The sequence below is a fragment of the Homo sapiens genome, chromosome 14 (genome assembly GCF_000001405.40).
Source record: "Homo sapiens chromosome 14, GRCh38.p14 Primary Assembly".
NCBI lineage: Eukaryota > Metazoa > Chordata > Mammalia > Primates > Hominidae > Homo > Homo sapiens.
In genome coordinates this window covers 55702162-55728788 of record NC_000014.9, presented here as the reverse complement: position 1 = coordinate 55728788, position 26627 = coordinate 55702162, and the positions used below count along the sequence as shown (strand labels likewise).

The following is a 26627-nucleotide window of genomic DNA, read 5'->3' as shown; positions in this document are numbered from 1 at the left end:
TCCAGAAGAGAAAACTAAAGTATAGAGAGATTAATTTATTTCCCCCAAGGTACCAAGTGGCAGAGCCAAGATTTGAACCCAAAGGCCATATCCTTTTGTTATCCTCCTCTCAACAAGATCACACAGGGCAGGGTTGCCAGTAGAACTCAAGAAGGAAAAACTGCCTTCATTTACCAGCCAACCACTACTTAAAATTACTAGTAAAATGTAAAACTGTTTTTACATTTATGAATTATGGCATATCCACCTATGGAATATTATGCAGACATTAAAAATAAAGTTGTATAAAACCATAATAAAAGAATATGGTGTAGAGCTCTATGTTAATAAATTTGAAAGCCTAGATAAAAATTTTCTAGGGAAATATTTATCAAAATTCAAAGAAGTAATATAGGAAAAGAATGATCGATAACTTTGATAGCAATTGTATAAGTTGCAAATAGTTGCCCCTGCAAAAAAAAAAAAAAAAAACACCTAACATAAGTGGATCCATGGATGAATCCTTCTAAATTTTCAAGGAACTGATCATTCCAATGCTACCTGTTTCAGAGCATAGAGAAAGAAATAAAGCTTTCCAGTTCTTTTCAGAAAACCTAAATACCAATGACTTAAAACCCAGCAAAACCTTAACAAAGAGAATCCAGCAATATATTAAAAGGGTAATATGTTTAAAGTTCATATGGAACCAAAAAAGAGCCCATATTGCCAAGACAATCCTAAGCCAAAAGAACAAAGCTGGAGGCATCACGCTACCTGACTTCAAACTATACTACAAGGCTACAGTAACCAAAACAGAATGATACTGGTACCAAAACAGAGATATAGACCAATGGAACAGAACAGAGGCCTCAGAAATAACACCACACATCTACAACCATCTGATCTTTGACAAACCTGACAAGAAATGTGGAAAGGATTCCCTATTTAATAAATGGTGCTGGGAAAACTGGCTAGCCATAAGTAGAAAGCTGAAACTGGATCCTTTCCTTACACCTTATACAAAAATTAATTCAAGATGGATTAAAGACAAATGTTAGACCTAAAACCATAAAAACCCTAGAAGAAAACCAATACCATTCAGGCCATAGGCATGGGCAAGGACTTCATGACTAAAACACCAAAAGCAATGGCAACAAAAGCCAAAATAGACAAATGGGATCTAATTAAACTAAAGAGCTTCTGCACAGCAAAAGAAACTACCATCAGAGTGAACAGGAAACCTACAGAATGGGAGAAAATTTTTTGCAATCTACCCATCTGATGAAGGGCTAATATCCAGAATCTACAATGAACTTAAACAAATTTACAAGAAAAAAAAAACCCCATCAAAAAGTGGGCAAAGGATATGAACAGACACTTCTCAAAAAAAGACATTTATGCAGCCAACAGACACATGAAAAAATGCTCATCATCACTGGCCATCAGAGAAATGCAAATCAAAACCACAATGAGATACCATCTCACACCAGTTAGAATGGCGATCATTAAAAAGTCAGGAAACAACAGGTGCTGGAGAGGATGTGGAGAAATAGGAACACTTTTACACTGTTGGTGGGAGTGTCAATTAGTTCCACCATTGTGGAAGACACTGTGGCGATTCCTCAAGGATCTAGAACTAGAAATACCATTTGACCCAGTGATCCCATTACTGGGTATATACCCAAAGGATTATAAATCATGCTACTATAAAGACACATGGACACGTATGTTTATTGCAGCACTATTCACAATAGCAAAGACTTGGAACCAACCCAAATGTCCACCAATGATAGACTGGATTAAGAAAATGTGGCACATATACACCATGGAATACTATGCAGCCATAAAAAGGGATGAGTTCATGTCCTTTGCAGAGACATGGATGAAGCTGGAAACCATCATTCTAAGCAAACTATCACAAGAACAGAAAACCAAACACCGCATGTTCTCACTCATAGGTGGAAACTGAACAATGAAAACACTTGGACACAGGGCAGGGAACATCACACACCGCGCCTGTTGTAGGGTCGGGGGCTGGGGGAGGGATAGCATTAGGAGAAATACCTAATGTAAATGATGAGTTAATGGATGCAGCAAACCAACATGGCACATGTATACATATGTAACAAACCTGCACATTGTGCACATGTACCCTAGAACTTAAAGTATAATAATAAAAAAAGGGTAATAGGTTAGGCAAGTTTTATTCCAAAAATACAAAAGTAATTTAATATTAAGAAATCTATTCATGAGAGCATCCACACTGATAGGTTAAAGGAGAAAACTCATGTGGCCATATAAATACATGCCTAAAACAGAATTTAATAAAATTTAATACTCATTCCCCAGAAAAACCCTTAATGAGGTAAGATGATATGGATACAGGAATATGTAGTGACATCTATAACATAATAAATATATTTAAAGAAGGGAGAATAAATAGATAAAAATATAGGTCTTAAAAGAGCTAGCTTAACATTTATATGGTGAATTACCATGGAAATAATCCTGTTAAAATCAAGAAGGAAAGTTGTCCACCATCTCTACTTTCGTCCAGCAATATTCTGGTGGTTAATGCAATTAGACAAAAGAATAAATACAGTTTTTAGCAGCTACTAAGCTCTCTGCCAGCACCAGTGATTTCTCTGATAGATCCCTCTGTGGAACCAGCACAATGCCAACTAAACTCTTAAATGACCAGGGCTTCCTCCAGACCCCTACCCTCTGTCCAGCCTTGTCATAGTCTTACAATCAGTATGACCATGAAATGAAGAATGTTCATACTCACTCCCTTTCCACACTGCATCCCATGCAAAGTTATTTGATAAAAATTCCGCAACAGAGAAAAAAGGACCCTGCCCATAAATTCAAGCCCTTTTGTCGGGTGACACCTTTTGTTTGTGGAAGAGAGTACTGGCACAGTGCAAAGACAAAAGCAGGAGGTAGATTTCAAAAAATAAATAAACTAGCGAAGTTTGGTCACAAATGTGAATGGAGACTTAATTGATTTGTACGTGAAAAACGCCACAGTGCCTGAATCAAGGCTCCATACAAAGTCATCATTATTATTATTCACCACTGTAAAAGCATGGCTTGTTTTCAGTTCTTCTGTGTTGAAGCTAGCGAGACATGATCATAAAGCTCCAAGACAACGTTCAATTACTAGTGCCTCTTATTAGAAAGCAGCATTTTTCTTTTCAGGGTTATATACCACCATTTTTCTTATTCATTACTGATGCAATATCAAGCTGTGAACTTCTGCAAGGCTGGAAATAATTCATGCAACCAATCTTCTTTAACAAACTAATCATCTCTCCCCCTTTAGGAAGTACCAGATATGGAACACTGGTGATGATTATGAAAAATAACAGTATTTATAAGAACCCACTGGGCTCAATGCTATCTTCAGTATAGCTAAGGAAACTTTAACTGTGTTTAATGATCTTTCCAGCTAACATTGTCATTGAAACAGGCAGGGCCTGCCACAATCATGTTAAGACAGAAGTTCTCAAACATTTTGTTCTCAGAAACCCTTTATACTCTTGAAAGATGATTAAGGACCTGAAAGAGCTTTAGTGTAAATGTATTACAAGTATTGATTTTTGCCATTAGAAATTAAAACTGAAAAGAATTTTAAATATGAATTTGTTAATCTTAAAAGAATTAACCTACTACATGTTAATATTTTCACAAAATACAACTATATTTTCCAAAACAAAAACATTAGTAAGAGATTGGCTTTGCTTTATATTTTTGCACATCTCTTTCATGCCTGGCTTCTTTAAAGATAGCTAGACTCTCATATCTGCTTCTATATTCAACCTGTTCTGATATCACATGTCACAGAGCATCTGGAGAACCCCTCTGTCCACTCATGGGAGGATGCAAGTGAAAAAGGCAAATAACGTCTTTGTAGAATTATTATTAAGATAGTTTTGACCTCACAAAGATACTGAGAAAGTCTCAGAAACACTGGGGTTCCCCCAACACATTTTGAGAACTGCTGATTTTGAATAAGACTGACTCCCATCAAAGGTAATGTTTACTATGTAGAGAAGAAGGCAGGCACTAGCATTGGAAAAGTTAAAGTTCCATTGGAGATACAAAGCTAAACGGATACAGAAAACAGTGTCACTTTAAGCAGCTTATAATTTATTTTGCAGTAATGTGGTGATGTATATTGCATTACTGTTCAAAATAGTTGCTGCCTTTCTTCCCAGTTTCTTCTTACTGGCCTCTGTCTGCAGACACCCCTCCTACAAGAAGATCACGCTCTTTCCATTTCGTAGTGTTCATGTCTGCCATCAGACTCACTGTGGCCAATGAAATGTGAGTGGAAGTGACATGTGCTACTTCTGTGCAGAAGTTTTCAGGGACATTATATGATTCCTGCATCCCTCTTCTCTCCAGTGAGACCCACCATGTCTCAGGAAGGAGCTGCTTCTTCCGCCTGGGTCCCAAAATGAAAACCAGGTAACCCTGAGCACATAATTCATCTCAATGGAGCAGACTGGCAGTCAGTCCGTGAGGTACATTAACAAAGGAGTAATTCACTGACACGCTTAGAGTTGTTTGCCACTGCAGTGTAACTTAGGCTATGCTGACTGATACAGGTGGGTAAGATACATACAAAAAAAGACCTTAAACATTCAAGAAAATCTAGGTTGTTTGGGGAAGGGAGCACTGACACACGTGTTAAGGAACAGAAAGCAAAGGGGATCTCACTCAGCATCCTCAATTTTTTTTAGCAAATATTTAATCAAATGTAAGAAGTATTATGGAGTCAGGCCCTATGCTAGACATTGAATACTCAGGGATGAGTAAAATGTGGTCTCAGAATGGAAGGAAGTGGTGGGAGCCATGGGCTTTAACACTAGACCTAGATTGGAAGCGTAGTTCTGCTACTTCAACTGAGTGATCTTGGGTAAGTTTTCTGAGCTTTATTTTTCTCATCTGTAAATGGGAATGATAATACTTCAAATGATGGTGAGTTTTAAATGAAACAACTGTGAAAAGCATATAACAGATAGCTCTGCACACAGTAGTCTGCACGTGCAGGACAGGCTACTTTTCCTCCTCTTTCATCTTCCCATCTCACACTCCCAGGTGAGGATCTTGGGATTCTTTGCTTAGCTCTGTCTATGAGTTTTTCACTTACTTTTCTAGAGTTTAGTCTCTCCAAAAATAAAACATTGTATATATACGTACATGCACACACACACACACACACCCCTTTCATTTTATCTGTCACTCAGCTAATACTTATTAAATACTATTATTATCCCTATTTTACAAATTGGATAAGTAAAACATAAGGCAAGGGGGATCTCTGTCAGCACCCTCAATTTTTTTAGCAAATATTTAATCAAATGTAATTAGCATTATGGAGTCAGGCCCTATGTTAGATATTGAATATTCAGGGCTGAATAAGACATGGAATGGTCTTAGAATGGAAGAAGGCGGTGGGAGTCATGAGTTATTCATGAGAGATTAAATAAGTTCCCAAGATCACATGTTAGCATATACATATCTACCTTTTAACAGCTGATAGTACTTGACAGTGTTGATATATTACAGTTTACCTAACCATTCCCATTGTGATGGACATTTTCAACTTGTGATTATGTTTTTACCATCACAAACAAGAAACATCCTCTCACAAAGATCTTGGCATACATGTGTAGCTACAATTTGCAGGATGAATTCTTAAAATTGGATTGCTAGGACAAAGTGTAGAGCAATTTAAATTTTGATAGATCATGTGAAATATATCTTTCGGGAAGTTCTTGCTGATTGATGCTCCTGCCCTTGGGGAATGAACATGCTGTGTCCCCAGAACCTCTTCTACACCTCGCCCTTAACCTGCAACAGCTGTGCCTCAGATCCGTGTGTACCAAACACATTCCCAAGAATAGTCTCATTGAGCACCGTTTGGGAAGGGCTGCCATGTGGACAGCACCCCACTTTTTTGTCCCTGATGGTTTAATGCTTTATGTTTTCACACAGAGTGCATTTGGGGAGACTGGCTGGAGGCGGGCTTTGTTCTGCTCTGAACAACACAAGGACAATTCATCTATCTGAAAGGTAACTTGTATATTGATCCAGAAACATTGCAGGAGTGTAGCTTTTTCATTGATTATTTGATAATGGGTCATTTCATTTTTATCTACTCTGACTTCTCTAACTCAGATAAAAAAACAGGTAACCCTGAGCACATAATTCATCTCAATGGAAAGCATTTTCCTGCCAATTTACATTAGCTCAAAAAGTGGCCCTGCAAACCTCTAAGTCATTCAGAACAATACATTCCAGAGATGGTCCTTCCAACCTGCCTTATTCTTGTTTAACATTTGGGCAAGAAACTAAGCGAGCATTTAGTTTGAAGCAAATTGCATCTCATATTTCCTTGGAATGAGGCAAAAGCAAATCTGAACCATCTTTCAATGGAATGAGCCCACACTGACAAGAGCACTTGTAATCGCTTCCATTGTGTATTCTTAGCCAATTTACAACTACATTCATTGAATTAATAACGATCAGCTGGGACTCGCAAAGGCCTAATACCCAGGGCTCCCTTCTGGGGCTGCTGGCCTGACATTTAAATATTTATTGATGATAATTGGATGACAGATAGGGATGGGCTCAGACAGAAATAAATTCAATCTGCTTGCACAGGCAGAAACCACGTTATAGCCATGATTCCTCCTCAGGCCACATAGATACAGTACCAAGAGAAATGAAGGTGAAGAGTCCTCTGATAAGCTGTGAAAACTAAGACAACGATTCTTATGATTATTTGCATGGTTGAAAGACAACTCCTTAAGACTAATTTTTGTTTTTGTTTTTTTTTAATGTGTGTTTTTGTTTGTTTGCTTGTTTTACCAAACTGTCAATAAAGACACGAGAATTTAGAATTCAAGACTTTGCTTTCTTGGATTCTGGGTTTTCCTTCCTATTCTAAAAATGTTTGAAATGGGCACCAAGTATTCAATCTGTGTACAGATCATTAAGATTTTGTGTTTAAGATCTGCCAGGTTATGGTGCAGTAACAAAGAACCCCCAGATCTCAATAACTGAAAACCACAAAGGTTTTTATTTCATGTTCTACACCACAGGTCCCTCTCAGGCTGGCAGGGCATTCTGCCCAGCACAGTCACTCAAGGACACAGGCTGATGGAGCAGCCAATCACCACTTCCCGGGGGAAAAGGAGAGCTCTGGAGAATCTTGCATCAGCAAGGAAATGGTCTGGCCTGGAAGCAAACCACACTAACCATGACCACAGAGGACCTGCTTAAGATTGCTCTGACCTTAGGTCCTTTCTCTGCTTCTCACTAACCATGTGGCTTGAACATGTCACTACAACTCTTGGAGGCTCAGATTCCTTATCTGAAAAATGAGAACAATACAAGTTAGTCATCAAATTGCCCTGAAGGATAAATGAGATAATAAATATATAGAACCACATACTAGAGGCTCAATAAATGACAGTATTTTGGGGTTTTTTTTAACATGTTAAAGAAAAGACTTCCATGGAACCCAGTGGGCTCACAAGGATGTGTGCTTTTGCTCACTTGCACCACATTATACACAAAATTCTTGAAAATATATAATAAGCCACGATACGTACATGTCTCAAGGCTCTCACTGCCACAAACTGTAGTTTCTGACAGTTTAATTTTGTATGTAGGAAAAGGTAACCTGCAAGTAACTGAAGAATTCACCCAGAGTTGTTCCATAATCAAGAAGGTGTAACACCCAACTTTGTGTCTCCTGACTTCCACTGTAATCTACCATCTCATTGCTATGCGCTTCCTTTCCCGCATGTGGGAGAGAAGGAAGAACAGTATACTATGCCCCAGGACAACATCTTTCACAGCAGGCTTTTAGACAAGAATCAGGTAAGTCCAAAGGTTATTGTCATTATTTATATGCAATGATCACTCTTCACAGCTGTATTTTCTATGATAACTAAGAAAAATTAAAGAGATCAAAAAATGATTACAATTATAATTATGGCTCACATTTACTGAGAATTTACCCTGTGCCACTTCCTATTTTATGAACTTTTTAGGATTATCTCATTTAATCCTCACACTAACCCTAAAAGGTGGGTTACATTATTATCCCATTTCGCAGGTGAGAGAACTGAGACACCCTGAGGTGAAGTGTCTTGCCCAAGGTCTCCTGTACAGTAAGTGGCAGAGTTAGGATTCAATCTCAGGATATTGTATTTTGGAGGCCATGTTCTTAAACTCCTCAGGATGGCTATAATATACAGTTATTATTTTGAAATCTCACTTACCAGAAAAAGGAAATGATGGCTAATACAATTGCTCTATAGGTTAAAGGACTGTGCTAAGAACCAGAGGTTCATTCATATTGTTTTATTCTCATCCATGATTACACTCACCATCTCCCTAGCAGCAGATAATTAAACAGCAGGAAAGTTCTTGAGCAGATAAAGAAAGATCAGAAGGATAGGGTAAGATTGGAACATAGAGAATATGATCAACTGATATTTACTGAATGAGTGAATGGGAAATTCATCATCACTAATTGAAGAAAACTCAAACTATTAGTAGTCAACTGCATTCCTTTTATAAATGAAATTCATTATTTCAACTGTGTCAGCCCTTCAACACAAGCTACGCATGCCAGATTCTGCATATTGAACCTCATTGTACCACCGATTTTTTTTTTTAATAAACCAAGAAAGACAGTTTATGGAACAGAGTGTTTTTAGGAAGTGTCATAGGGTGGAGGAAAGAGAAGGAACTCCTGCCCGTCTTCAGGGAGAGAAAAAAGTCCCCGTGGATGGAACAGGAGGGCTCCATCAGGCCTGAGAGGTACTTTTGCAATGTTATGGGACCAATAAATTAGAAAGGTAATTTAGTACCTATTATTTGATTTCTCACCTAAAGGAAATTGTAAAATTTCAAATCTGTGAATTTCAGGTAGGACCAAGTCATTTGTACTTCCCCAAGATGTCACAGCTTATGCTCTATCAAACAAAACAAATCTCTTTCCAGATGAAGACAACAGCATTAAATGTAATTCTCTGTGTGTTTTAAAATGAATAACCAATTAGCAATTATTCAGTCATGAACAAACAGAACTTACTCTGTTCCTCTTCCTGAATTCTCAGAAATACTTGGAATTTAATGGGATGTAATTTATGAGACAAAGCCCATTTTTTCTTTCACATGACAAAATGGACTGCAATGAACAATTTCTGTGATCACAGAGAATGGTCACTATTGCTGGTTGTGGGCTGCAGAGGTAACAGGAGCTGGCCAGGGTAGGTTAATACCACATACCGGGCCTTGTCAGTCAACAGCCTTCAGAGCACACAATTCCACCTGCTGTTCTTGCTTCCTAGGCTGTGCTTGTTGAGAAAGACTCAGCCCAAGCACAAGTAGTGAATGGTTCATGGTACCCGCCAGCAATGGGGATAGGAAACATGGGTGCTGATAACTTGTGGGGGAGGCAGAGGTCAATCAAAATTCATAATCGAAACAGTTATGTAACAGTCACCAAATCATCAATTTGTTATCAATGACCTTCAAGTCAACTGGAATAGATGAGCTTCACTGAACCAACATAGGATTAAGGAAACCCAGAGGGGAACCCTATGGCTTTTTGACTGTCACGGAATGTTGATTCAAAAATGATGGAAGAATCTCTCCTGTTTGGTCCCTAAGCAGACTTGTGGCTCCCAAGAAGCCTTCCTCATATCTTCATGTTTATCTGGGCTAGGTCATGGTGGAAATGACCTGGAAACGTAGATACCCAGCACCCACCACCATACACATATCTGTGTGCCTGTTACAGGACCTAAGTTGTTACTTCCCTCTAGGCAGGAACTATACCTAACTGTCAAATGGCTCTCTATAGAGGCCATAGCTCACCTGTGCCATAGATATACAAACATACTTTTGTCAAACCAGCAACATATATAGTCTTTGGCAGTATCATGATTTTGTCAATAAATACCTAGACATACCAGCTCACACTTTCCACCAGCATAGTTTCTCCCTGTTCTGCAGAGTCACAGCTCAATGGAGGGGCGCATGGATGGCTGCCAAGGGAGGGAGAGGGAAAGAAGCCCAAAAGGGTGGGGCATCTATCCCACTCCACAGCCAGGGCTGCTGCACAATCTGTCTAATACATCACTTGAGGAGGAGTTTGATTCTTTAAAAAATTTGGAAATCATTGTTCTAGAAGGTCTCCAGTTTGTCAGAAAAGTAAGATTTGTATTTAGTGTGCCTCAGCACAGAGAAGCAACTTTTTGTATAGAAATGTCCTGGCTGGGCATGGTGGCTCACACCTGTAATCCCAGCACTTTGGGAGGCTGAGGCAGGTGGATCACCTGAGGTCAGGAGTTTGAGACCAGCCTGACCAACTGGTGCAACCGCATCTCTACTAAAAATACAAAAATTAGCCAGGCATGGTGGCATGCACCTGTGGTTCCAGCTACCCCTCAGGGAGGCTGAGACAGAATTGCTTGAACCCAGGAGGCAGAGGTTGTAGTGAGCTGAGATCACTCCACTGCACTCCAGCCTGGGCGACAGAGCAAGACTCCATCTAAAAGAAAGAAGAAAGAGAGAAAGAAAGAGAGAAAGAAAAGAAAGAAAGAAAGAAAGAAAGAAAGAAAGAAAGAAGGAAGGAAGGAAGGAAGGAAGGAAGGAAGGAAGGAAAGAAAGAAGGAAAGAAAGAAAGGAAGGAAGGAAGGAAGGAAGGAAGGAAGGAAGGAAGGAAGAAAGAAAGAAAGAAAGAAAGAAAAAGAAAGAAAGAAAGAAAGAGAAGGAAGGGGAGGGAAGGAAGGAAGGAAGGAAGGAAGGAAGGAAGGAAGGAAGGAAGGAAGGAAGGAAGGAAATGTCCTGAATTTCCAGAGTAAGGTATTTTTCTTTCTCTACACTGAATATTAATTCAGCACTCCAGGAAGAACCAGCAACTCTGGGTGCCTCAACAGCCTGACAGGGCCCTTACTCTATTAACCAAAAAAAAACGCCATTAAGGGAAGGAGAAGAGAGATGAGCAAAACAAGAAGTAGAAAAAATGGTAGAAATACACCACCAAGGAAATGCTATCATGTTACCTTGCTCCGCGGGAATTTACTTAACCGTCTCCATAGGAATGGTCTGGCCCAGCTATTAAAAGGTTCACACAGAAAAAAGAAAAGTTGGGAGACAAAATTAGCTGAGTAGAGGCCATGTCTGCTTTTGGAAGGGCTATGGTCAACTCACAGTCCTGCTGAATCTACAGAGAGAGAGAGAAACTAGACCCCAGGCTGAGTAGTCTGTAGTGAATTTTGTATGCAGCTCTCAACAAAAGAGCACTCAGACACCCTGGCACCAAAGATATGAACAAGAAAACGCTGAGAACATATATCTGTTTATCCGTCTGTGATCCCAAAAGAACTCATTTAGTAAAAGGTCTTGGACTCCAAATGCATCAGTCTGTTTCCTTCCTGATGGTCCCTGCTACATATGTGGCCGCTTGGACATCTGAAAGGAAAGGGGCCTGTGCTATTCTGATGTTCATCCAGTAAACAACAAATTGGTGCTTAAAATGGGGAAGCGGGAAGCTCTTCCCAGAAGAATCCAGATTCCAGGATCTAAGGGGGTCATGTTGATCCTAGAAGCAGCCACTGTGTGAGGATCCTTCTGTCCATGAGGCCACCAAATCTATTCTGCTCCTGGGGACCAGACAAGGTAGGGAGTCTCACAAGCCACAGTGGAGAATGGGATTGGAGTTGATGGTGAGTGGAGGAAGAAATCCCAGGCTTGGGCATCGGGGGCTCACAACTCTGTCTGCTTCCAGCTCCTGGACCAGAGCAGCCCTTCCATGCGAAAACTAATGCTTCAACTTCACACACCCGGAGGTGCCTCCTGCCTGCCTTTACCCAAGTCTTCCACCTTTCATCACCCCTAAACCTTTTGTACCGCTGTGCTCCTTTCACAGTGGGGCCTGGATAGCCACTGCTTCTGAGGCCATAGTCCCAAAATACCATACACCAAAATGGGACTTCTTTGAAGACCCCCGGGAAAGTCTGTTTCAGTGACTTTTCCTCTAAACAGGGACTCCAGGGGAAGCTCCAATCTTGGTTTGGGGGGCATAGCTTCCATGCTGTGCCTCTGTGCTGTCTGCCGGAAGATTTTGAAGTGGAAAAGGACAGAGCTGTGTGGGTTGTGCACGGAGTGGTGTGGGTTCTGCTGGGTTGCTTTCTCTGATCCTCAAAGACCTTTTTCCATCCTACCTCCAATCTGACCCAGCCTAGGGCACTCTGAAGTCATGGATTGATCCTTTCTCTCCCACACATAAAGCAGCTTCTTTCATACTGATATTACCTAAGCAGCCTCTCACAATTAGGCTTGGAATGGAGGTTCAACAGCTTTGCTCTAGGGTGGCTTTGCTCTGGTATTTTCACTGTAATAGCTACAGAACCACTTAGGAACATTTCATAAACCCTGGAAATTTAAATTGGCTTTTCAGAGATCCATTAGCTCATGAAATCTTAGGTTGTGTCACTGTTGTGTGAGAACCCATAGAAACGGGTATGTAAAACAAGCCTCCAGCAACCACACGGTTCCTCACAGTGACTTCTCTATAGCCAGGGGCCAACAGATGTGACTAGCTAAAGTGATTGGCTAAAGGAGGGGGCGTTGTCATGGGAAACCAGGACATCTCACTTGCAGCATTTTCTTAACCCAGTGGGGAAAAATGTTCCAGTTCTTATTTTTCTGTTTGACAACAAGATGCTCAGCTATCTGGAATTCATCTGTGAAGAGTCCCACAGGAATTTGGCAGTGACATCAGAGCAAGGGAACTCATTCTAAGTGATTAAAATGGAAAGTTGTGGCCGCAACTTTCTAATATCACCAATTCACAACAGATTTTCAGTCCTCCGTGGCTGAACCACCACTTAGCTTTTTAGGAAGGAGAGACACAAGGCTCAGCCAGAGGAATTTGGATCATCTCACTACAATCGTGTGTGAAGGCAGAGGGCACAGACAAAAGAGAAGAGATGGGGCCGTCAAGGCAGGACCAGGTAAGCAGCAAAGAAATGAACTGTTCATCCCAATCAAACTTACCATGGAGAGACTAGATATACCTCTGTCCCAAAAGAACCCATTGAGCAGTCTTTGACTCCAAATGCGTCAGTCTGTCTCATCTTGGTTGTCCCTGAAACATACACAGCCATTTGGACGTCTGGAGGGAAGTGGGTCTGTGCTGTTCTCATGTTCGTCTGGTAAACAACAAACTGGTGCTTAAAATACATATACTGTGGCCGGGAGCGGTGGCTCACGCCTGTAATCCCAGCACTTTGGGAGGCCGAGGCGGGCGGATCAGGAGGTCAGGATATCGAGACCATCCTGGCTAACATGATGAAACCCCGTCTCTACTAAAAATACAAAAAAATTAGCTGGGCGTGGTGGTGGGCACCTGTAGTCCCAGCTACTCGGGAGGCTGAGGCAGGAGAATAGCGTGAACCCAGGAGGAGGAGCTTGCAGTGAGCCGACATCACACCACTGCACTCCAGCCTGGGCAACAGAGCGAGACTCCATCTCAAAAAAAAAAAAAAAAAAAAAATATATATATATATATATAGCATAACGTCGAGCTTTTGAGGTTGAGAGATCAGACCCCCCTCCCCAAGCAAAGTATATACCTCTCACATCAGAGCCACAGGGCTCTTTGCTTCTTGGACAGCCTAATCCATCAACCAAAGTCATCTTCCCTTAAAACTGAATGGGACAGGACAGTAATCTAGAGGAAAAGTTCAGAAGAAATTTCACTTTTTACTCTAAAACCCATGTTAGAGCACTCTCAGCCTGAATTCCTTGAAAACATGTCCTGAGACAAGGATTAAGGGCTAATGCTTTAGGAAGTACAGTGCCAGGGCATTGCACCTGAGGAAAAAGGAAAGCAAGTCAGGGAAGGATGGAGAGTAAATGCTGTCCACTGCTCCTCAACAAGTTTCAAGAGATGCATTCAATCCCCAACTCGTGTACCTTCTTGACCACACAAGACATCTCTGGCCAAGCTATATAGAGAAAAAATGTCCATCAAAGAGAAGAATGGACAGGGAATTTGTTTACCTAACTTCATTCTCATTGGTAGAATGTGACCCACAGTCACACTTTGAATTTCGGAGTTAAATTAAAAGACCTATTGCCCCCAGGGGATCCAGATGGCACATCTTGTGGCATGATGCTCATTCACGTCCAGCAGTGCCGCAGGGAGGAGGCAGAAAGACTCTGGGCCTCAGCCCCACATCAGAGCCTTGCCAGAGCCAGTGTCACTGCAGCAACTGAGATGGAGCAAGCCCTGAGTCTGGAACACAGGTGAGGCCAAGAGAATGAGGGCACCTGAGATGTGTCAGGTGAAATGACATGATACTTAATTAAAGGAAATTGTTTTGGCCAGGCACAGTGGCTGATGCCTGTAATCCCAGCACTTTGGGAGGCTGAGGTGGGCCGATCACTTGAGGCCAGGAGTTTGAGACCAGCCTGGCCAACATGGAGAAACCCCATCTCTACTAAAAATACAAAAATTACCTGGGTGTGGTGGTGCATGCTTGTAATCCCAGCTACTCGGGAGGTTGAGGCAGGAGAATCACTTGAACCTGGGAGGCGGAGGTTGCAGTGAGCCAAGATCGTGCCACTGCACTCTAGTCTGGGTGACAAAGTGAGACTCTGTCTCAAAAAAAAAAAATTGTTTCTCCTCATGCCTAGTTTTCAACATAGCTGTCCTCACTTCTGAATTCATCACTGGAATAGGCAAAAATCTAAAGTTCAGGAAGCCTGAAATGAAGCAAGGTCTCCCTGCCCCTCTGCCTCTAAGTGACCTTCTGGAATGGCAACGACTCCCATTGCCTCGTTGCACCTGCTCCCTGAGACAAGCTTTCTGTTCTCTGTCTACAGACACAGTAGTGACTGGGTAAAATCAGGTTGGCCCATTGGGCCAGTGGGGGACCCCAATCTAGATTTTGGTTTGATGATGAAGACAGAAAGAGCTATGCATCCCCTTTTCCATATGCTGAGGCAGTATATATAGCATAGGTTGAGAGTTTGAGGTTGGGCTTTGGAGTCAGACAGAGTAATGTCGTAACTCGGTCCACCACTTACCAGTTACGTAACCTTCCTCTCTGTTTCTTCATATGTAAAATAGGCATTAAACTAGTACCTCCTCACAGAGCTCTTGTGAGAATAAAATGAGACAATCCCAGTAAAGTGCCGAAACAGTGCCTGGTACCTAGAAGGCAGAAAATCTTAGCTATCATTACTAATAGAAATTCTCTTTCCCATTATTATACTTCATTTTTTGTCGTAGCTGCCAAAAAGTTGGGAGGTAAAGTGCAATTGCATTAGCCCTCATCATTCACAAATTCATTTATTCTCCTGATTTCCTGTACCGTTTTATTCTCATTATCGTGTGTGTGTCCTTTTATCTTGTTTCCCTTCATGCTTTCCTCCAGCCCCATGTCATTCCCATTTTTCTGGATAAAGGAACTGGCTGCTAATCTGTGCCCTGAACCCAACACTCCTTGTAGGGTAGGTGCCTGGTGAGCAGGCCCCTCACCACAGAGCCAGATTCCTGGAGGGCTGGGAGCTGACCCTTGCTTTGTGTGTGTCTAAAGAGGGCTACACCTCCATTAAAAGGCAAGCACAGCCAGGCAGAATCCAGCTGTCACTGCCTGGAGCACTGAGAGCAGCGGAGGACTGAGGAGGAGAGGGAATAAGAGTCTTTGACAATAGATAAACCACTCATCAGACCACCAAAACTGCCAAAGGCCAGCTCCTCACCTCATTGCTGTCCTAAGCCATTTAGTAACAGACAACACTGTTCTGGAGATGAAGGAGGCACCCTGCCCTACGCTCTCCTCCCCAAAACGGTGCATTCTGTTTCCTGCAGCAGTGAGTCTTTCATGTAATGGAGAGTTTATTAGTTGAGATTTAAAACTCAAAGCCACAGGATACAGATTGAATTGCAGTCTCCCCAAGGATCCTAAAGCTACAGACTCCCGAGTAACCTCCTTGTATTTCCAAAGGTCATACTCGCCTGTGTGATTCCCTTACAACTACCAAAGGGCACCCACAGCTGGCAGCCTCCCAGTGCGGCCTGGCACACTGTAAAGAGAGATTATGTAACTGCCAGTGACAGGGGATAGGGAAGAGGAGGGGAGCTCGCATCTGTGGATGATGCCTCTTACCATGCTCCATACTCACCGCAGCTCTGCATCCTTGCCTGCCAGGAAAGTAAGGTAGGCTTTGCCTGGCTGAAAGAAAATGTGCAGCAGGTACCCCTGCCATCTAGGGTAGAAGAGAGCCTCCTACTTCTTAGGTGCTGAGGATAAGCTTCTCCTGTGGGCACCCTCATGTTCCTTTGCCCCCAGGGCCTTTACGGCCATCCCCATTGTCTTGGTTCATCTTCTGCTACTATAACAGAATGCTACCAACTGGGCAAATTATAATGAACAGAAATTTATTTGGCTCATGGTTCTAGGGGCTGGAAAGTCCAAGATCGAGGGGATGGCATCTAGTGAGGCCTTCTTGCTGGGTCATAACATGGTGGAAGATATCATACGGCAAGAGAGACAAAAGAGAGGGCCAAACCTGCTTTTATAGCAAACCTACTCCCACAATAACAACATTCATCCATTAAAGGTCCCACCTGTCAACACTGTTGTGTTGGGGATTAAGTTTCCAACACATGAACTTCGGGGGACACATTCAAACCATAGCACCCATCTTCTCACAGCTCAGGCCACTGGGTGCAGACTGAGGATGAGTAATGAGGCCTGAAAAGGGGGAGGACCCATCACAAGCCACCAGTAGCCCTCTTTATGTCTCAGGAATCCCAGGTGAACCAGGAGAAATGGGCTGAAATAGCCAGTCTTATAGTCCTGAGAAATCATGTAATCCAAACCAAAACAAGCCAAGAAAACTCAGATACTGTCTGCTATGGGTAACACCAGAATAGTGCCTTCTCATTCATTTAGGCTCCAGCTAAACCCAACAAAATAAGCACAGCCATTCAAATTTCACAACCTCCAACTGTCAAAGTAGAATATTAATTTTATATAAATCAGAAATTTTATTGTTATTATTTAATTTTAAATAATAGCAAATTTAGTTACATAAAAATATTTAAATAAAAGTATTTAGCTTTATATAAATCAGAAATTAATTTTAATTTCTGAATGTGAGCCCCCATTTTGCTGATGGTAGTGAATTTCATCTTGCCAAGTTTAAATAAACGTCCAAGCACACTGTGTCTTCCCCATTACCACTGTAGTCCTCTCTCAGCTCCACCCTGCCCTTTCAGGAGGCATAAGGACCTTTGGATATTCTCTTTGCATTAAGATGGGGTATCAGGATTCCATGAGGCTAACGTCAGAGCCCTCTGGCTGTTGTCCAGTCATATGTGACTTCTCCACCGCTGTGGGGCCAGGCTGCCTGTGAAGAGCTCTAAGAAGTATGTGGTCTCCTTGGGCTGCACCATGGGCAGGGAAGTGCAAGTTACTATGCTCAAGAATCACCCAGACCTCTCTGGGTCTCTATCATCATCCCCCCAACCAGGGGCTTGGCTCTGACAGTGTGATCCTTTCTCTAAAACACTCCTGACATCAAATTCAATTTATCTCCTCCACTAACTCAAAAAGCAAAACCAAGGAAACGCCTCCAAAGCCAGGAAAAAGATTTGTATTTGGCAAGAAGGCTGTCCTTACATAATTATTCATTCTTTTTAATTCTATTGTTTATGAAATCAACCTTATCCTCCTTCAGGCATTTTGACTGCTGGAACTCAGATAATAATAAATAATAGTAATAATTTTTTTTTAAACAATAGCTTTTCTCTTCTTGGCAAGGAACTGCCAGCTTCACCGACCATGGTCTAATCCAAGGAGCTACAGAATCCACATGACCCTTTTATGGAGCCTCCCTGATTTCAGGCTCCTGCCCTGGATACAGAGCCAGAAAGAGCAAAGAAAGGAAATTCTGTGCTTTTCAAGTAAGTCAACCATCAGAGCCCAAAGGAAGTAAAAATAACTCAAGCTAGTGTCATGCAAGCACTTGTCCAACAAAAATAGAAGTGGCTCTGGCCATGAAAGGCTTTGTCTATACCACAATTGTCCCAAAGGGAAACACCAGTTAATCATGGTACCCTTCAAACGGCCATTTCTTGGTTATGTTCCCTTATTTCTGTGTTAGTTCCCTCTAACAGAAAAGTAAAGGAAAGAAAATTGAGAGGGAAGAATAGAGAAGGAGTGAGTAAGGATCAGCCCATAAGATATGGCAGCCCATAAGATAGAGATTTTTTAAAACAACACAGAAATTATTTGTTTGAGACACACATGCATAAATACTGAATATTAAATTTAATTTTAACTTTTTCTATATTAACCAAATTACCATTTTTAACTGTATACTACTGTAGTCTACATTTAAATTTCCTTACTTGTGCTAATAATATTCTTTAGAGTCCAATTTTCCTCCAGTATCCAAAATCCAATCATCGATTACACATCGATAGCAGTTAGTTGAATGTCTTGTTAGTTTCTTTTAATCTGGGATAGTTCCCAGACTTTTTGTCTTTTATGACACTGACTGTTTGAAGAATCCAGGCCAGTTGCTTTGCAGAATGTCCTTCAATTTGGGTTGATTTGGTTGTTTATTCTTGATTAGATTCAAATTCAATATTTTTGGCAGGAATTCTGTGCAGGTGGTGTTGTGTCCTCATATGTCACATCAGAGGCCATAATGATGATTTGTCTATTATTGATGTTAAGTTTGATCACTTAGTTATAGCAGTATCTGCCAAATTTCTCCACCATAAAAGTTCCCTTTTCCCTTTGTAATTAGTAAGTAATCTATGGGACGATACTTTGAGACTGTGAACATCCTCTTCCCCAACAACATTTCAGCCAATGGTTTTAGAAACCATTAATAATTCTTGCCTGAATTATTACTATGTAATAATTAAAATAATATAAAAATTAATAAAAATAATTGTAATAATATTACAATAATAATTATTTCAACCACCATAGTGGTTGAAAATGGTGCTTTTGTAATTCTATCATTTGTATTTATTAATTGGCATTCTTCTACAAAGAAAGGCTTTCCCTTCTCCCCTCCCCTTTTATTTAGTATAAATATAGATGGATAGGTTCTTTTTTAATGCAATGAGTTATTACTCATAACTGTTATTACTAATTTTGATTCTCAGGTTGTCCGAAATTTGTCCAGGGGAGCCCCTTGAAGCAAATCCTGTGTCATTTTGACACACCTTCAGTTTTAAACACCTTATGGTGGTATTTAAAATGAAAGAAAGAAATCAAGGTTGAAATGCTGAAGAAGGAAGAAGAGCCACAAAGGACAAGACAAGAGAAAGATAGTTCTGATGACAATGAAACTCTTTTTAACTAAAACAGAACTCTTGTCTTCAGCCAGAGCTCTCTGTTGTCCACCGCTGGGACTTAGATATATTCAGGAGCCACAGGGACAGGCCTGACAACAGGAAACATACATGGAAAGTCTCCTGGGAAGAACTCAAGATTTTTCACCTGATGGACTTTAAAGTATTAAGGCATGCCTGGCAAATAGTCTATTTTCAGAAGGGTGAAGGAAGGTAGGACTCATCCTAAGGAAAGAGACAGTTGGGCACAATGGATTGGTCCTTGGTTGTTAAAGGAGAATAGAAGTTATTAAAAATGAAAGTATGGGGGATACTACAGGAATCCACCTCCAGCCAGCCCTGTAGGTGAGAGAGAGGTAACTGAGAGGAATGGGAACTCTAGCTCATGGAGGTTCAAGCAACACTGCTTTGGAACCCTTCTAGCAGAAGGCAACACACCGGGGAGACAGCTGCACTTCCCCTTGGCAGCACAGCTTGTTATGGAATGAATGTTTGTGTCCCTAAAATTCATACACTGAAATCCTAATCCCCAATGTGATGGTATTAGGAGGTGGGGCCTTTGGGTGGTAAATAGGTCATGTGGGTGGAGCCATCACGAATGGGATTAATGCCCTTATAAAAGGGATCCAGAGAGTTGTCCCTCTCGTCCTCGCTCTCGCTCTTGCTCTCTTCCTCCCATGTGAAGACCCAAAGAGAAGTGAGCAGCCTGCAACCCAGGAGAGGGCCTGGCCTTGCCAGAACCTGGCCATGCTGCACCCTGACCTCAGACTTCTAGACCTCCGAGCTGCGAGAAATACACTTCTGTTGTTTATAAACCATCTAGTCTATGGTAATTAGTTATAGCAGCCCTAATGAGCTAAGACACAACCCCATACAGCTTTGGTTTCCAGGGAAGCCACAGCAGAATCTACTTTGGCTGGCAGATCACTTGCACCTGGTGGAACAGTGCAGACACTACCAGAGAGGGCTTCTTTATGAGAACCTTGGGACTGACCCACAGAAATACATGAAATGGAAAAGAAGATGAACTATTTAGATAACTCTACATGAACAGCCTAGGCCGATTAATTTAGGCTACAAAATAAATAGTCCTTTGCCTGGGAAGTAGACATGGAAGTTATAATGATCCCTGAAACAAAGGCTCAGTGGGGTCCTCCTGTGTCTCAAGGCCAACTAGCTAGTAAGTAGTACTCACAGGACCTGAACTCCTAGTCCAACATCCTCTCCACCTAGCAGAAAGGAAATGAAGGCAGATGTGGAATTCCAGAAGGATGGAAAGAGAAGTCAACATCGCCACAGTAAGAAAAGTGTGGATGAGAATGATGTAGGAAGAGTCAGAATGGTCTGCATACGAGAGCCAAGAAGGTCACCTCAGGAACCCCAAGACTGAGGAAGAGATTCCATGGAAGCCAAAGGTACCCCAGGGCAGCACCGTTAAGGGACAGGAGAGATCAGGAACATGCCCTACTGGCTCTGCCTCAGATGACCAACAAACACGGTCCATAGTCAAATGGAATGGGGAGAATAAAGGAAAAACTGCACCTCAACGAAAGCAGAAATGATCACAGGCAGAATCACAGTGGGGAAAGAAGGCAAGAAGCAGGAACAATGAAACAAAAGTCGATGTCAGGCCTTTGTTGGGCAATACCCACTATTCATAAGTATTTGTGATAGACGAAGATGCCCTCAGGGAAACACTTCAACAAAAGCACAAGATCAAACCTTGACGGGAATGGCTGCCAGTCCCTAATACAAACCTTTGCTTATTTATTTTAAATCTCTGAGCATCACTTACAGGAAAAATAAACTTTCCTTCCAAAACTAAGTTTGCTTATATGCATTGTCTATTGCCTCCCCCTAGTGATTGGATATGTGAAATGCCATAAGAATCTATTGGCAGAGCTGGAGAAATTAAGTGACCGCGATGATGGTGATGACAATGACGATGATGATGATGATGATGCCTTTTTATACTTGAACAGTACTGCATGCTCCTCAAAGTGCTTTCACACAGGTAATTTCATGTATCTGGATAACTACTTTGTAAAATAGACAATATGGATTCCACTTCCAAATCATCTCACACTGACATTGCTTTGGAGCCTATTAATCAAAATCCGAGACAGAAAACTACCTAGGGATTTGGAGTCAGACCTACATTTGTAGCCTGGTGCCACCATGCACCCCTTTGTGATTTCGAGCCAGTGGCTTAAACCATGAGCCTCCATTTCCATATGTGTAAAAGGGGTTGAGACTGTATATATCATAGAGATACAATAACCACTATATGAATCATTCAGTACTGGCTTGAGCACTGTGCCTGGTGTGAGGTAAGACCTTTTAAAATGTCATGGTGGTGGTTGTTGTTGCTGCTGCTGCTGCTGCTGCTTGTTAATGGCATCTTTTAGGAGTGGTCTTTCACTTCCTCAGGATCACATTTATGATTTCTGAGCCTGCTGGGAGACAATTCTTCCTTGTATCTAACTGAAAAACATGTACTTTACTTAAATCTACTTTCAACCAGATGCAGGAGCTTGTGCCTGTAATCCCAGTGCTTTGGGAGGCTGAGGCAGGAGGATCGCTTAAGGCCAGGAGTTCAAGTCTGCAGTGAACCATGATCACACCACTGCACTACAGCCTGGGTGACAGAGCAAGACCCTGTCTCAGAAAAAAAAAAAAAAAATCTACTTCTCTTTCTCAATTTTCCTTATTTTCCAGTTATTTTTCCCTCCTTGGCCTGGCTTATGACCTGTCTTAGGGTTCATTTCTAAAGCAGAAGAACCTTGGCCTGACAAGAAGTGCAAAATTGCAGGGTGTCCTTTCCAGATGCTCCTTCAGATGCTATAAAGTCTGCCTGTCCAGCCTAGGAACCCTGGGAGCTAAGTGCAATCAGAAGAGCACATTAGACCAGGCGTTGCTCAGAACAATTCTCTTCCTCAAAGACTTTATCCCTGGTGGTTAAAGAGGAACTAGTGGTCATAAGAAAGTGTGGAAAAATCAGATAGGGAGCTTTTTAAGACTCTAAATCTGGCTTATTATCAGTGAGCAAGCTTATGAAGCACACATGCACCTGAGTGCATGCGCACACACACACACACAGAGGTTCACAGCAATTATGGGCTTATGAGATCTGCCTGGGGATAGCGAAAAGTAATTCCTGAAGTCAGCTACCAAAAATAGCTCCAGCACCTGGGCTTAGCAGACGTCAGGATGAAAAGCAAACAGCTTATTCTTGAGCAAACACTTTTGACACAACCACAAGTCACCCAGGCAGCCCTCATCGCAGGTGCTGGCCTGTCTCCACTTCATGGAGGAGTCAAGAGTCTGCCACATCCCATTAGGCCTTATGAAATAATAAGTAGGAGAGAAAGTAAAATGGTATTCAGGAACTACAGAAACTTCTTTATCCTGATGCTTCCTTCCTACTGCTGAAGAAAACACCATCCTTGCCACCTCCAAGTGGCAGAAGTCTATAATTCTTTTTCCTGCATACTAGGAAGGTCTTTCTCAATAGTTATGCCCTGGGATGTGAGATACCAGCCCACACAATCAAGCCCGTGCATGCCTCTCTGCAATGAGCTTGGAGAACTCATACTCCAGTCCCTAAAGTGCACACAGCAGACTCCATCCAAGTGTCAGTTTCTTCAAAGCTTCCAGCCTTCCCTGTGAGCCCACACCAAGGGTGGACAAAACTGTAACAAACCAGGGACCTGCCATGCTGACCCCACCTCAGGAGCCAGGGACACTTGGGAACCAGAGGCCTAATTCACTGTGCTTAGCATCGTATTTGCACCACCATATTTGCACTCAACAATATCTGATTGAAGGATTCTATTCATGCACATTGAAAAAAATGATGTCTCCAAGTCTTAGGTGATGGTGGGTGAAATGTACAGGACCAAGAAGATACAGCTCTTGCGCTGGGAGATGAACATTCATTGAGTACTGTCTACGTGCCAGGCAGTGTAAGATGCTTGACCCACATTTATCCTATAGTCCTCACAATGATCTATGAGAAGGTGTTAGAATCCTTGCTGGACAGGTACAAAGATTGGGGCTGTAAAAGTTTAGGCCACTCGCTGATGGCTACACAGCTTGAGGAACAGAACAAGAATTTGGAACCAAAGGCTGTCTACTTAAAGGTGGTGTGATTACAATGCTGACATCCTAAGAAGCAGCAAATGTTACTGTGAGTGGGAACCTGAAAAGATGGCTCACCTGGCTGGGACAAGCTTAGCTAAGGCAGCATTTAATAGGCAAGCTGTGCACCTCCTCAGTCCAGTCTGGACACCCAAATCTTGACTGCAGTTGTCCGTTGAGGGCTACCTTATTCAAGAACTGAAGAGGGTTCTTTAACTTTATGAAGCCAGCACAAAGAACCAGATAAGAATGACCACATTCACTCTAGGGAATGAGGTTAAGAGCATAGAGGTTCTAGTGTCACATTACCTGGGTGACGCCTTGATTAAGCCACTTAGTAGCTGTATGATCTTGGGCAAGTCAATGAATCTCTCTGGGTCTCAGTTTTCTCATCTGTACAATGGGATAAAAATGGAATCTACTTCATTTAGTGGAAGGTTTAATGAGATGATATCCTGAAAGTACTTAGCACAGCAGCTGAAACATTGCAATTATTCAATTCATGGTCACCACTGTTATTACTATATTCCTATCATTACAGTTATCAATCATAATTATATACAATAAAAGATAAATAATCTGTACTAGGGTGGACTCACATTAATTTCCAAATTCTCCTTGCTGGAATTGAACAACTTTAGCCAGATATGGCTAAAGGAAATGTCTTTCTTTTCTTTGGTTTTGCATTTTCTGCAGATTCTGTTCCATGCAACGTGTGCCCTTTCCCCATCTGTCTTCATCCTGGGGCCAGGAGGGAGGGAGAGCTTCCAGACTGATCATCAGACACCAGCGTGGTCAACAGAGCATTCACAGGGACTGTGATAGAAGTCTGGTGGTAGTAGTTCTGGGGCCTGAGCAAAAGAGCTATCAACTGCCCTGTTCATCAATGCCTTGCCCCCTGACTTGTTCATTTCCTTGAACCAGGGTCCATACCCTAAATGCAAGGAATAACTAATATCTGCTCCAAGTCCACATATTTCTATAGAAAGTTTCCATTTTGAAGGGAAAGGCACTTTCTTGCTTTACCACCACTTGTTGGCATATACACATAAGATACAGCAGTGTATCATCAGGGTTCCCCAGAGAAATAGAACCAATAGGGTAGACAGATTCTATTATAAGAGATTTATTATAAGGACTTGGCTCATGCAATTACAGAAGCTGGTTAAGTCCCAAGGTCTGCAGGGAGAGTCGGCAAGCTGGAGACCCAGGAAGAGCCAATGTTTCTGTTTAAGTCTTGCAGGCAGGAAAAAGCAACTATCCTAGTTTGAAGGAAATCAGGCAGGAGGGTCTGACTTCCTTCAGAAAGACTCAGGGGAGGGTCAGAGTATTTGTTCCATTCAGGCCTTCAGCTGATTGAATGAGGCCCATCGACACTAGGGAAGGCAATCTGCTTTACTCAGTCTACAGATTTCGATGTTAATCTCATCCCAAAGTACCCTCACAGAAACACCCAGAATAATGTCTGACCAAGTATCTGGGCACCAGGTTGACACATGAAATTAACCATGATGGCCAGGCGCAGTGGCTTACGCCTGTAATCCCAGAACTTTGGGAGGCCGAGGCGAGTGGATCACGAGGTCAGGAGATCAAGACCATCCTGGCCAACATGGTGAAACCCCGTCTCTACTAAAAGTACAAAAAATTAACCGGGCATGGTGGTGGGTGCCTGTAGTCCCAGGTACTCAGGAGGCCGAGGCAGGAGAATGGTGTGAACCTGGAAGGCGGAGCTTGCAGTGCATGGAGATAGCACCACTGCACTCCAGCCTGGGCAACCAAGCAAGACTCCATCTCAAAAAAAAAAAAAAAAAAAAAAAGTAACCATCACATGCAGTGTGAGGTTTTCCTCCCTGCATTGCAGCCATGTCTCCCGCTGGGCCCTCCATCCTCAGCCTGTGATTTAGCGATGATGAAGTGTTTATCCATCCTCAGCCTGTGATTTAGTGTTTATACTCTGCTCTTGCCAGCAGCAAGTAAACTTCCAGACTGAGTATGAGCTGAAAAACACCTCCTGTAATACAGAGAAAAAAATTCACCAAATAAAATTTCCTGCATGTCAGTGTCCTGCGGCTCAACACAGTGAGAAGGAAATAGCCACATTTTGGTAGCCAGGCCTGACTCGAATCCTAGTCCTACCTCTTCTGGGTTTGTGCATCTTGGAAATGTTGCTTAATCTATTCAATCCTCGGTTTCCTCATTCTTAAAATGGGCATAATAATAGCCCACTCTTGCAGGGAAATCGAGAGGATGAAAGTAACGTGTAAAATACTGGACCCTCTTAGGCATGTCATAAGTGGGAGCTCACTGTTCCCGTGGAAGCTGGTACATGGCCCCCGGTTGCCGTAGTTTGAGTGTGGTTTCTGCCCTACCATTTCATCCTGCCTAATCATGCAGGATCCTCCACTGCCTTGAAGCTAATGGCCCTCATACTGTGCCTCTTATGATATTCTTGCTGTTGGGCTTCATTAATTGTTGCAGAAATCTGTTAGGTACAACCCTCTTGAGACTCCTACTGCGCCCCAGAATAGCTTACAATTCTTCACATTACAAATGAGCATCCTCAGCACTTCTTTTCTCGCCCCAAGCCTCCTGGGACATGTTTAAAACAATAATCAAAGCAGCATAACCCGTTGACACAAGCCTTGAATAAAAGCGGGCTGTCCCTAATCCCATTCCTTTTGAGCTCATTAAATGACCTGCAGTCCCACTTTAAATGAAATCTTTGTTTCCAAGGAAGAGAGAGGAAGTGTTTAGCATCCTAAAGTCACTGCTACCAACCTACCTCTTCCTCTTCATTCCTCCTGAGTTGCCCCTTCCTGCTCACTGTCACCCTCCTTTCTCAACAGTCTCCTCACTTTCCTGCTATCCTGCCCCAAAGTCGGTGATGATGATGATGGTAACTGAAAACATAGCCTGAACACTTACTCTGTGCCAGGCACCGATATGAGCAATTTACACACACTAAGTCATTTACTTCCCACAACAAACCTAAGAAGTGCACATTACTGTTATCCTTGTTTTTCAGATGAGGTGACAAAGGCACCAACATGTTTGAAGAGCTTGCCCAAGATCACAGGACTAG

General features: G+C 42.2%; 1 long non-coding RNA gene across 1 annotated transcript; it reads right to left on the bottom strand.

Moving 5' to 3' along the window:
* Positions 1-7053: 7053 nt before the first annotated feature.
* LOC124903320 (uncharacterized) lies at positions 7054-13288 on the bottom strand. The gene is made up of 2 exons (XR_007064179.1): positions 13075-13288; positions 7054-7366 (listed from the first exon to the last, which is right to left on the bottom strand). It is a non-coding gene; the product is annotated as an uncharacterized LOC124903320 (long non-coding RNA).
* Between the last annotated feature and the right edge of the window lie 13339 nt (positions 13289-26627).